Consider the following 13,262-nt stretch of genomic DNA (forward strand, 5'->3'; position numbering starts at 1 on the left):
AATTTCCAGTATTTCCCTTATGCAGCTTACAAGTTTACAAAGATTAAAAAATGATAAAACCTAACATTGGTGGAGGTGAAGTGAGATGGGCCTTCACTTAACACTGGAGGAAGTGTAAATTGGTAAAACCTTTTTGTAAAGCAATTTGATAAAATGTCAAGAAAATTAAAATAGTTCACACTTGTAGATACAGTAATTCCACTTCTAAAAGGAAAATCTAATAAAATAATTAAAATGTGGGTACATACTTGTGTGTAATATTTTATGTAATTTGAATATTAGAAACAAAATCAATGTTCAGTAAGGTTTACTCAGTTAAATATAAATATAGTCATGTACCACATAATGATGTTTCAGTCAAGACAGGTGACATATACAGGCCAATAAGATTATAACACTATTTTTACTGTTCATTCTCTATGATTAGATACACAGATGCTTACATTGTGCAACAGCTGCCTATAGTATTCAGCACAGTAATGTGCTATACAGTTTTGTAGCCTCTAGGCCATGCCATCTAGCCTAGTTGCGTAGTAGACTATACTATCTACGTTTGTGTGAGTACCCTCTGTGATGCTCACATAATGAGGAAATCACCTAATGGCACATTTTGCAGAAGACACCCCTATTGTTAAATAATGCATGACTGTATGTAATAGGCTACTATGCAGATTACACCTAATACCCTCACATGATTTTGATAATATATTGTCATTGCAAACTTGAAAGGAAACAACTTCCTAAGTCATTGGCAACGATGTAAATTCATGCAAACTCGTTGGATAAAATTATATATAAGATGTATCATAAAAATATATATCAAAATTAGAAATGCAAATATGACCTAGAAATTTTATTTTTAGGAATTTATCTCATATATATTCTAGTATGTACTCAAATAATGTTCACAGCAATACTGTTTGCAATAGAAAATGTCTGGAAATAAGTCAAATTTCTGACAATGAGGGACATGTTGAATAAATTCTGACATTAGAAAGGAATAATTTGTATATTAATCTGCAAAATACGCTAAATGAAAAAGCAAAAGTTCAAACACTGTCTGTATAGTAGACCCTCATTTCTCTAGAAATAGATAACAGTTGTGTAGTGGACTTGACTGAGTTCACTAATAGCTAGTTCTTCTCTCCTTGGACATACAGAAGATTATAGTTTCCATACTTCTTGCAGTTAACTGAAGCCAGGAAACTAGATCTGGCAAATAAAATGAGTGGGACTGACTTTTGAGCTGACAAAAATGAAGAGCCCTTTTTAAATTCTGCCATCTCTCTCTTTCCTTGCAGTGTTAATGCACAAGGTCTTGTGTTGAAAATGTAGAGCCACGAGATAAAAGCAGCTTGGATGGCTGACTCATATACAAGGACAACTGCCTGAGAGTCACCAGGGCTATCAAGAAGTTTGCAGAAACAAGAAATAAACTTTTACTGTTTTAAACTTTTGTGAATTTTGGGTTTTGTTTATCACCAAATAAACCTAGTCTATTCTGATTGTTATAAGTGGTTAATTTGGGAAGTCAGATATATTTAAAATTGGCTTACTGCTGTAACATATACAGTCCAAATTACATAATGGCTCAAATGCAATAGAAGTCTTTTTTTTTTTTGCTCACATATCACTTCACTGAGATTCTGCATTAATTGTAATGATGAGGGTGAGGGTGTCTTATATCATACAGTTGTTCAGCAACCCAGGATGACCAACTTTGTAATATTTTTTCCCACTGGCTTCTAAAGTTCTCATAGATAGTAAAATTCATTTGGAAGAAGGAGAAACAGCATGGAGGATTGCAGATGGAGATTTTTATGGGAAGGCTTGGAGGTTTGGAGGTTACACATTACTACTTTTACTTGTTGGCTAGGAAACTATCACGTGGTCACACCTAAGTGCCAGTGAGTCTGACAATGTGGCAATTTGGTTGCGGGCCAGGGGTAAGAGGCAATAAATTTTGCTCAATAATTATCAGTTTTTGCCACAGATGGAGGGACTTTTCATTGTATAACTAGTTGTTACTGTTTGAATTTAAAACAGGAAAATATCATTTTCAAATAAAAACACAAAAGTGGCACAAAAAATTCTTATGATTTTTTTTGCTTGAATTTTGTGCATTTATTTGGCTATTATTAAAGTAAATAATTCTCTTTATAGAAAATGTAGAAAATAACAAAAAATAAATAAGCAGAAAGTCATCCAATAACCCCCATGATCCCAGCATAATAATCTTTTTTAAGGTAACTGAAATGACCATCCTTCTTTTACAATTGCAAACGCTAACACCCAGGGATTTTAAGAAATTTGTCAACTCTAGTAAGTGGTAGAGCACAGAGAAAAGAAAAGCCAGGGAAGCTTTTACAGAGCAGGAGACAAGGATAGAAAAGGACTTATGAATGGGGAAACACAATTGACAAATTATTTTAAAATATTGCAGGTTTAATCGCATGGAGAGAGAGAGCATAGAACACGAGAAATATACCAAAACAACAGAGGTAATGACCTCAGCTTTAGAGATTTCCCATTTTATTATAGTTTTATTTCCATTTAGATATGTCATTTAGATATTAAGGTGTCACTGTCCAATAAGGCAGTATGAACCTGGGTTCTGGATGAAGACTAGTCGGGATATTGTGTCAATGACAGTAATTGAAGGCACTGGTGTTAAAGGCTGTAGATAGAGTTGTGATGAGTCAGAATTTTGAGCAATTTAAAAGTTAGATGTTGTACAGATTGTTGAAGGCTAGAATTGTTTTTTGTTTTTTTGTTTGTTTGTTTGTTTCTTTTCTTAAAACCCTGGCCCATTTCCCTGAAGAGCTCCCACTGGAAAAGTCATAGTTGGATATGGTGTGAGAAGCTGGCCAGGATTCGAAATGGTGAATGTGGCAACCCGTTGGCTGCCTGGTATAAAATACATCCAGGTGTTCAATTCTGAGCTCCAAGGCTAACTATTATTATTAACTATAGTGTGCATCCATTCCTATAAATATCAGAAGACTGGGAACTCAGATAGCTTATTTTGCTCCTGAATCTGTTACTGAGTAGCAATATGAACTAAAAAAATTATTTTTCCAAGCAGGGCTTAGATTTCCTCGTATCTAAAATGAGAAGAATAGAATAAATAATTTAACTACCCAGCTCTGAAACCCAGACTCCATGATAAGAATAAGCATTTTCCCAAACTCCAAAACTTAGTATTCTTTTATAGAAATTATTACTTTCTTCTTCATCCCCTGGTCTCTGCATAAACAGCTCATCCATCCTCTAGACAATAATCATGATAGGGCAGAAAATCAATAATTATCTCTGTGTCTTCCGTGGAATTTAACACAGAGCATTGAAAATAGTAGCAATTAATAAATTTTAAACAATAAACAATGACATACATTTTTAAACTGAAAACTTTGTGTTCTGTGCCGATTTCTCTGATGATAACACGTTAAAGTTTGAAGCAGTGGTCATGAAAGTGATAGTCTAGAGCCATCATAATTAAAGGGTGGTGCTCCCTCTGTAATTGTAAAATAAGGTTTGAGTAGCCACACAATGCCTCTCATACCTAGAATTCTAATAGATTAAAAAACTCTTAAACATACAGTTCCAGGATCTATGACCTGGAGAAATCTCCTTCTTGGATATTGTACATAGGGTGGCAATCTTCCTTTATATTCATTCACTGGAGCCTTGGCTTTATGCTGCTTTGACAGCTCGTCAGGAATAAATCTTGTCAAGAAGGGCATTATCTTTAGAGATTTTCATATAGCTCATGTTGCTAGAAAGAAAAACATAGCAAGCTTGTTTAATCCAATTAATGAAGATCTGTAGACTGTCTTGTGCAGCTGGTCATTTGGCAATGGAGGAAGTTAATTTTAAGGTCTATGAAAGCTTTCCATTTGTGGTGACAAACTCAGGAACTCAAAGACTACTGTTAACTCTCTCCAACCATTTTGTAATTTCTTTTTTGCTTTTATAACTGTAGCAATAGAAAAAGTATCTTTTCTTGCATAAGCAGAAATGGTTCAGTATTTGTATCAACACAGTAATAGATAATTAATCAAAATTAATAGATAATTAATAGATAATTCATCAACATGGATCTAATTAGATGGACTATTTGGGTTTATATATTTTTCTCTGGCATTTAGATCTTCTGTTATATAGTGTTATGAAAAAATACTAAATTTGTAGTTATAAAAGTTGGCATAAGGTACAAAATCTAACACTTGTAGGCTGTGAATACAAGCCATTTCACTATTTTGGGCCTCAGTTTCTCATATACAAATGATGATAATACAGGTAGTACTATTTTTTTACTGTCACAGGATGATTTTGAAGAAAACTATGCAAATATTTGTGAAACCCTACAATCCAAAGCATCATACAAATATAGGTGCTGCATATATGGTTTTGCCATATCAGCACTGTCCGAAAAATATTGCCCCCAATTATTTACCATCACCAATAAAACAGAATTGTATATCTTTACTGTGTTATGTAGTTACGGAGCCATTATCCTGCAGATATTTCCTCAGATTTTTGCCGCACTCTGTGAAGATACATTATTTTCTCCCACTTTTCTAGCTGATGAGAAAAAGTACCATGCAAAAATCTTCAGCGATTTTTCCCCAAAATACCAAGTTTCAACATTTTGTAGCATTTTAAACAAAATAGACTACTTTCTACTTGTCTCATGCCACTTTAAATAGGATCATTAAGGGACACTCTCTCTGTTGAGATATTTGGGCAGAACCCTTAATGAAGAAAGGCAGCAATTCAGACCAAGGTGTGGGCAAAGGATACTCCAGGATGAGGAAACACCAAGCACAAAAGGGCCCGAGCCAGGACAGAACTGTTATTTCCAAGGAATACCAACATGTCCAGTACTAATGAAGTCAAATGAATGAGAGAAGAGTGGAAGGAGAGAAAGGCAATGTTTTGAGTAGTTGTCTGACTATATAGTCCCTCATAGACCATGATAATTGTTTGCACCTTATTCTAAGTTCAGTGAAATGTCATTGAAGTCTATGTAGGAAAGCAACATGACATGATTTATGTTTTAAATGGATCATTTTAGCTCTTGCGTGTGGTATGCAATTTAGCATAATAAAAGCAGAGACAGGAATGATAGGCATGACAGGGATCAAAGTAGATAATACTAGTGGCTTAGACTAGAGTGACAGAAATTGGGATAATGAACAATAGTCAGATTGGATAGATTTTAAGGATAATGTCAACAATTATGTTAGATTAAATATAAGAACTGAGAAAAAAGAGTACTAAAACTAGCTCAGGATTTTGGTATGAGCAAATTTGAATTACAACCTGAATAGAGTTGAAAACATTAAAAAGTAACAATCACAAATTTTCACCACACCTTACAAGATGCATTTGTTGTTTGTGGATTCTTGTGTGTGGATATGTGTGTTCACATGTGTTTGTGACTATCACTTAGAAATTACTTGTAAAAAAATTTAACAAAATTCTGGAAATTTGCAATTAAAAATAAACCATAACCTATGGCTCAAAATTCATATCACACAATCGATTTTTGCCAAGGAATTCAACTTTTCTGTTACAGGAGAGTATTAAAAACAACAAAAAAAATCTACCTATAACAAGTAAATTTGAAGGGAATGGAATTAGTTTTGTAAGGGGTATGGAATACTGGAAAAAACCAGGACACAATTTTTTCTACAGATAATCATTATCAATTTTAATTTGTTTTAATTGCATGCTTCATCTCCCTTCCAATTTAGTCATTTTAAAATTAAAAATTGATTCTGTAAAACTCATCACTATACCATAAATGTGGCCCTTTTGTGTCAGCTACTTTTACATCCAGGGAAGAAAATGACTAATTTAATGAGGCAGTTTAAGAAAGAAAGAAATGTTCAAAGAAAAATAATGAGGCACAGTTCCCTCTGGACCTGTTCCTAATGTTTAATACAAGAAAATGTTAGCAGTGTTTTAAGGTTCACAGAAATTATTGTGATACAGGCAACAATTATATAGGCTTACTCACCAATAAGAGGCATGAGACTATCCAAAGAGTAGGCAGAATATATGTTACTTTTATTAAAGGCAGTGTGGTATATAGTAAATAGATTGCCATTTATAATGTTTCTTCTGCCATTGTAAGCATGTAATTCAATGACATGATATCCTAGTCTGATGGCATTGTCAGAATCAAAAGTTCAGAGGTGAAGTAACTGGTCACAGTCTCGCATAAGCACAAAAACGATAAAAACATGATTTTTTTTTGACCCCAAGGTCAGCACAGAGGTTGGTTAAAGCCAGCTAATGACATTTTTCTTGCACAATATTTGTCAGAAAATTAGTTCATTTTGAAGAACGATATTGGAGACAGAGGTCTAAAAGAGGGGTTCTCATCCTCCTGGTATTTAAATTTCTTCCTGACAGCTATTAAACAGTGAGAAGGACAGTCTTTGGGACTTACTCTATTTTTGGAAGAATATAGATTGACTATGGGAAAGAAACTGAGGAAGCAAAAGCATTAATTACGTATTCTGAGAAAAGCATAGAACCTCTTCTGTACCTCGTTGAATTTCCCTTGTCTTTTCCCCCTGCTGTTTACTGAGAAAAGAAAGCTCTCTCAGAAACCTTTTGAAGGACTAGATGTTAAAAGATTTCTGCTTAAAAAGACCCATTCCGCTCTTTCAGTGAAAAACATACAACTTATTTCCAAAGCTTAGCATCATTATTATATATCGTATGTATTTTCTCTCCAAGAAGAATTATTGTTTCTTTCTCAATACTGTTATCTTTGCTGCATGTATACATGGAAATTGTCCTGGACCACAGGCAAACCAAGGGCATTCACCAGAGACCCACCTACTTGGGGGTTCATGTGTGCATTGTTTTCAGTGGCTTCCATTAGGATGCCAGAAATTTTCCTTGTCTTCTTAGCCTCTTAGATGTAGCTTGTGAATCTTCAAATTCACCAAGAAAAAGCATCAGTGTACTGAATATTGCTTTTACCTCTCTAGATTTTTCTCTGACATCTTGGCCTGCCAAGTCAGACGATGGCCTTAGAAGATGTTGAATACCTTCCCATAAATCCTTTTAAATATTATTTTCATGTTTTATAGTTGTCTCAGAAGAATGGCTGATCTGCAGTATGCTAGACTATCATTGGCAAGAACAAACAATATTACTGTTAGATTTTATGGTAGCAAAGCAAAGCAAAAATCAGTGGTATATGAAAATATACCAAATTTCTTGAGAAAAAAGCCTATGCAAGAAACTTCATTTATTTAAGATGTAAAATCAATGAGTTTGACAGCTGTATACACCCATAAAACCACCATCACAATATAAAAGTAACATTTTTCATCATTTCTCAAAGATCCTTACTGTATCTTTGCAGTCAGTTCTTCCGTTGACCCTCAACTGCAAGCAAAAATCTACTAGATTTTTGTTACTATAGATTAGTTTCCATGTTTTATAATAAGAATAATATCATATGATCATCTTTTGTCTCTAGCATCTTTATCTCAGCAAAATATTTTGAAATTCATGTATATTGTTGTATGTATCAGTAGTTTATTCCTTTGAATTGCTGATTAGTTTCCCATTGAATGTGTACATTTACTTTGTACTTTATTGATTAATAATACCTTATTAAGTCTTTTTAATTTTTCTTCCATTTTATGGGTGGTTAGTAGCAGTTCATTGCGTTTTAGTTGCAGTTCCCTGATGACTAATGATGTTGGGTATTTTTTACTGTATTTATTGGCTATTCATATATTTTCTCTTGTAAATGCCTATTCAAATATTTTGAACATTAAAAAGTTGGGTTGTCTTCTTACTTTTAAGATATAAGAGTTGTTGATATACTCTAGGCACAGTTCTTTATAAAATATGTGTGTTCTGAGTATTTTCTCTCTCTTTGTATTTTCTTAATAGTTTCTTGAAGAGCAAAAGTGTTAAAATTTTATAAAGCCCAATTGTGAAATTTTCTCCTATGATTTTTCCTTAGGTGTTTGATTTAAGAAATGCTTGCGTATCCCTAAGTCTCCAAGATTAGTTTAGCTTTGTTTTTAAGTAGTAGTTATATGGTTTCACCTTTTATATTTAAGTGAATAATCCATTTAGAGTAATTTTATGTGAATTAAAATTGATATTTTTATTTTTTTACTGATATCACATTGTTCCAGTGCCTTTTTTATTTCATTTTAGAGACAGATTCTTGCTCTGTCACCCAAGTTGGAGTGCAGTGGTGCGATCATAACTCCAGAACCTCAAATTGCTCAGCTCAGAAGATCCTCCTGCCTCAGCCTCCTGAATACCTAGTATTACAGGTGTGTGCCACCATGCCCAGCTAATTTCTTTTATTTTTTGTAGAGATGGGGTCTTCTTATGTTGTGCAGTCTGGCGATGCCCCTGCCTTGACCTCTCAAAGCACTAGAATTACAGATGTGAGTCATTGCACCTCTTCCAGTGGCATGTTTTGGAAAGTACTTTTTCCCCTATTGAATTGCCTTGGCATTTTTGTCAAAAATCTTTTCATCATATATGTTTGGGTCTATTTCTGGATACTCTATTCTGCTCTAGCAATATACATATCTATGCTTATGCCCATATAATATTGTTGTGATTACTACAGTGTTATTGTAATTTCTGAAGTCTGGTAGTGTATTTTTTCTACGTTTTCTTTTGTGTAACATTGATTTTACTATTCTACATCATTTTTATTTCCACGTACATTTTAAAATCAACTTGTCACTTCCTCTAAGAGAACTTTCTAGACATTTTGTTGAGATTGCATGGAATTCATAGGTCACTTTGAAGAGAATTTACATTTTAATAATATTGATTGTTCCAATGCATGAATGAGTAATATTCCTCCATTTATTTAGGTTTTTGTTAATTTCTTTTATTCTCTATTTTATAGTGTAAAAGTCCTGTGAATATTTTGTTAAGTTTTTATGTAAGCATTTCATAATTTTTTTGGGGGGTAAAAGTATATTAAATTCTTAAAATTTTATTTTCTGTGTCTTTGCTGAAAGTATATAATATGCAATTAAATTTGTTTTAATCCTCTATATTTAAAAGTTATAAGAAAATTGTTAGTTTATATTTAACCATACAGTCAGTATCTTTTATCTTTATTCATTTAAACTTTATTCATTCCTAAGATATGAATTTTTCTGTATCAATTCCCTCTTCAAGCCTGAATAATTTTATTTGTATTTCCCATAGTTTTACTTTGTCTGAAAATGTCTTTATTTTAACTTTGTTCTGTTTTCACTAAATATAAAATTCTAGGTTAACCATTATTTTCTTTTTCTTTCAGCATTTTAAATATGTTGCTTTACTGTCATCTGTCCTTAATGGTTTCTGATGTCATATCCACCATCATTTGAACGATTGTTCTACCATATGTAAAGTATTAATTTCTGGATGTTTTTAAGATTTTCTTGTTCCTTTTGTCTTTCAGCCGTTTTACTAGGAGGTACCTATACCTGTGTAGATGCTTCTTTCAACTGTGTCCTATTTGGAGTTTGCTGACCTTTAGTAATCTATAAATATAGGCCTTTCACCAGATTTGGAAAGTTTTGGTCATCATTTCTTCAAATATTTTTTGTCTCAAATTTTTCCTTTGTTTCTAGGACTCCAATTACCTAATTAAGGTGTTAGACCTTTTGAAATGTTCCACCGTTCTCTGGGGCTCAGTTTGTACTTTTCCTTTTTTTTTTTTTTTTTTTTTTTTGAGATGGAGTCTCCTCTGTCACCAGGCTGGAGTGCAGTGGTGCAGTCTTGGCTCACTGCAACCTCCGCCTCCTGGGTTCAAGCGATTCTCCTGCCTCAGCCTCCCAAATAGCTGGGATTACAAGCACATACCACCATGCCCAGCTAATTTTTGTATTTTTAGTAGAGATGGGTTTTCACCATGTTGGCCAGGCCGGTCTTGAACTCCTGACCTCGTGATCTGCCCGCCTCGGCCTCCCATACTGCTGGGATTACAGGCATGAGCCACCGTGCCTGGCCCAGTTTGTATTTTTGCATAAACTTTTTGTCTCTTTTTCAAATTGTATGATTTCTATTGATTTATATTTGGTTTTACTTAGATTCTTTTGACACCTTTATTTTAAAAATTTGGCCTACACAGGAAATTTGTATTTCAGGTTTTGTGTTTTTATCAATTTTAAAATTACTTTTATGCCTTTTTATGTTTTCTACAAGTATGCTGGTATTTTCTAATTTTTTAATTCCTTCCACGTGTATCTTTCTTTACCTGATTGAGCATAGTTATAACTCTGTTTAAAGTTAGTGTCTGATAATTTCAACATTTGGTCATTTTTCCCCTTAAAAATGGGTCATTGTTTCCTGGATCTTTGTATATGAAGCGGTTTTCGGATTGAATTGTGGACATTATGAATGTAATTATGAATAAAAATCTAGGCTCTGGCTTTTTTCATATCACTTTAAAAAGTGTTGATGCTTTTGTTTAGCAGAAAAATGACTTAAACTCAGATTAAAGACTATATATCTGTGATGGCAGTGGCTCAGAGTACAGTTTAGTTCTTTAAATCTTAACTCCTGATTGCTTTCAGCTTGCTTATTCACGCATTCATCAGATATCAACATTTTAGGTGTTAGGTTTCTTCTTCTCTGGATTCTTCCTTTTCAGAAGCTATTTTTGTATTTTAACTCTCTTCCTTGATTCCTCTGCCAAGAAGAGGATGAATTATTTTCTATCAGACCTAGAGCCACCTCATGCCCAATACCACTGCTGTGATTGCCTTCTGTGTAGAGCAGTTAAAAAATAACGTACACACTCCAAATTTCAATTCCCACACTGGTTACAGGCTCCAAGTTTCAATTCCGTTTCAAAAAATTCTTGCTCAGCTTCCATCTCCAGTGTCCAGTGCCTTCAGGTAGTTCTTTTTTGAGAGTCAATAGCTCTTATTTGTGGGAAGATTAATTTATTAGGAGCTCACTCCTCTATGCTTCAAGCAGAAATCCTCATACACATATCATGATAAAGCCAATAAAAACTCCATTTTCTACATATTTTCAGCCCTTTTTGATCAAACATTCTTTTAAATCTATTGTTCCGATGAAATAATGAAGATGGACACATCATTTCCTCTGAGCTATTGTGTGTACATGCACATTGTACTACAGTGAAAATATTGGCTGCCCTCCCTTCTGCTCTGAATCCTTACCTATAGAAGGACTACTGAATCCATTACACTGACATCAGGCTTAGCCAATTGTGGTTTGGCTCTGCGTCCCCACTCAAATCTCATGGCCAGCTGTAATCCCCACATGTCAGAGAAGGGACCTGGTGAAAGGTGATTGGATGGGGGCAGTTTCCCCCATGCTATTCTTGTGATAGTGAGTGAGTTCTCATGAGAGCTGATGGTTTAAAGGTATGGGGAAGTTCCCTCATAGCTCGCTCTCTCCTGCCACCATGTAAGATATGCCTTGCTTCCCCTTCACCTTCAACCATGATTGTAAGTTTCCCGAGGCCTCCCCAGCCATGCAGAACTGTGAGCCAATTAAACCTCTTTTCCTTATAAATTACCCAGTCTCAGGTAGTTCTGTATGGTAGTGTGAAAATGGACTAATACAGCAATAATACATGGGCAGAAGTTATCTGGGTGACCTCCCAGCAAAACAAATTACAGCTATTTCATGGCCCTACCATCTTACTTTCTTATTGCCATGAAGCAATTATGTCTCAGATAGAATCTTCTTTTTATCCTTCATTTTGGAAGAACAATCAACATGGAGCGAAGCCACAAACACTCTCCAATGCATGTGAATATGACCGAGAAATAAGTCTTTGTTGTGTTAAGTCGGAGATTGTGAGATCATTTGTTATTATAACATAGCCTAAATTAACTGGCACAGACATGCTGTGTAACTTAGGCTAAGCTGACAGATACTTATGTGTAAGCATGAGATTGAAGAAGAGGAGATGGAGTTGCTCATTCTATGTATTAACAACACAAACAGCAATAACAATAAAAAGCAATAGTTTCGAGAGGATGTGGAGAAATAGGAACACTTTTACACTGTTGGTGGGACTGTAAACTAGTTCAACCATTGTGGAAGTCAGTGTGGTGATTCCTCAGGGATCTAGAACTAGAAATTCCCTTTTGACCCAGCCATCCCATTACTGGGTATATACCCAAAGGATTATAAATCATGCTGCTATAAAGACATATGCACACGTATGTTTATTGCGGCACTATTCACAATAGCAAAGACTTGGAACCAACCCAAATGTCCAACAACAATAGACTGCATTAAGAAAATGTGGCACATATACACCATGGAATACTATGCAGCCATAAAAAATGATGAGTTCCTGTCCTTTGTAGGGACATGGATGAAATTGGAAATCATCATTCTCAGTAAACTGTTGCAAGGACAAAAAACCAAACACCGCATGTTCTCACTCATAGGTGGGAATTGAACGATGAGAACACATGGACACAGGAAGGGGAACATCACACTCTGTGGACTGTTGTGGGGTGGGGGGAGTGGGGAGGGACAGCATTAGGAGATATACCTAATGCTAAATGACGAGTTAATGGGTGCAGCACACCAACATGGCACATGTATACATATGTAACAAACCTGCACATTGTGCACATGTACCCTAAAACTTAAAGTGTAATAATAATAAAATAAAATTAAAAAAAAGAAAGAGAAGAAAAAAACAATAGTTTCACTAAATAAGTTTATATTTCTTCTGAAGAAGCATAAGGTGGAATAGGAGACAAAACTCTATACTAATAGTGAGAGGAGCCAAATTCTATCCCTTGTTTAGATACTAATTCATGGCATTACTCTTACTCTTTGAAAGCCCTTTACCTCTTTACCCTTTGATGTACTCATTTGTATAATAATAATGTTGCCTACTTAATCTCTGCAGATCTACTAACTCCGACAAATCTAAGATTTGATGAATATCAGCAAAACAAAGCACATAGGCACTATTGTAGAGCTTCTCTCAGCAGAAGAACACTCAGAGTAATGCCACAAGGACTTCTTTTACAGCAAAACAAGATTGCCAACAAAACAAACCTGGCACCCTATCCTGGAAACTGTCTTACTCTATTTTCTGCTGTTATAACAGAATACCACAGACCGGGTAATTTATAAAGAAAATAAATTATTTCTCACAGTTCTTGAGGCTGGAAAGTGCAGGAGCATGACATGGAAGGTCATGTAATGGAGGAAGGCATCACAAGAAGAGTAAGTGTGCAAGACAGAAAGAA

The 13,262-nt window shown here is 34.7% G+C and overlaps 1 long non-coding RNA gene across 1 annotated transcript in view; it reads left to right on the forward strand.

The window, feature by feature from the left end:
• Window positions 1–1,755, forward strand: part of PYDC2-AS1 (PYDC2 antisense RNA 1) — a 164,833-nt gene extending 163,078 nt beyond the window's left edge. The window contains exon 7 of the long non-coding RNA NR_120606.1: window positions 1,302–1,755. This is a non-coding gene — a long non-coding RNA (PYDC2 antisense RNA 1). The remainder of the gene's footprint in view (window positions 1–1,301) is intronic.
• The last annotated feature ends 11,507 nt before the right edge of the window (window positions 1,756–13,262 follow it).

This window comes from Homo sapiens, chromosome 3, assembly GCF_000001405.40.
Source record: "Homo sapiens chromosome 3, GRCh38.p14 Primary Assembly".
Classification (NCBI taxonomy): domain Eukaryota; kingdom Metazoa; phylum Chordata; class Mammalia; order Primates; family Hominidae; genus Homo; species Homo sapiens.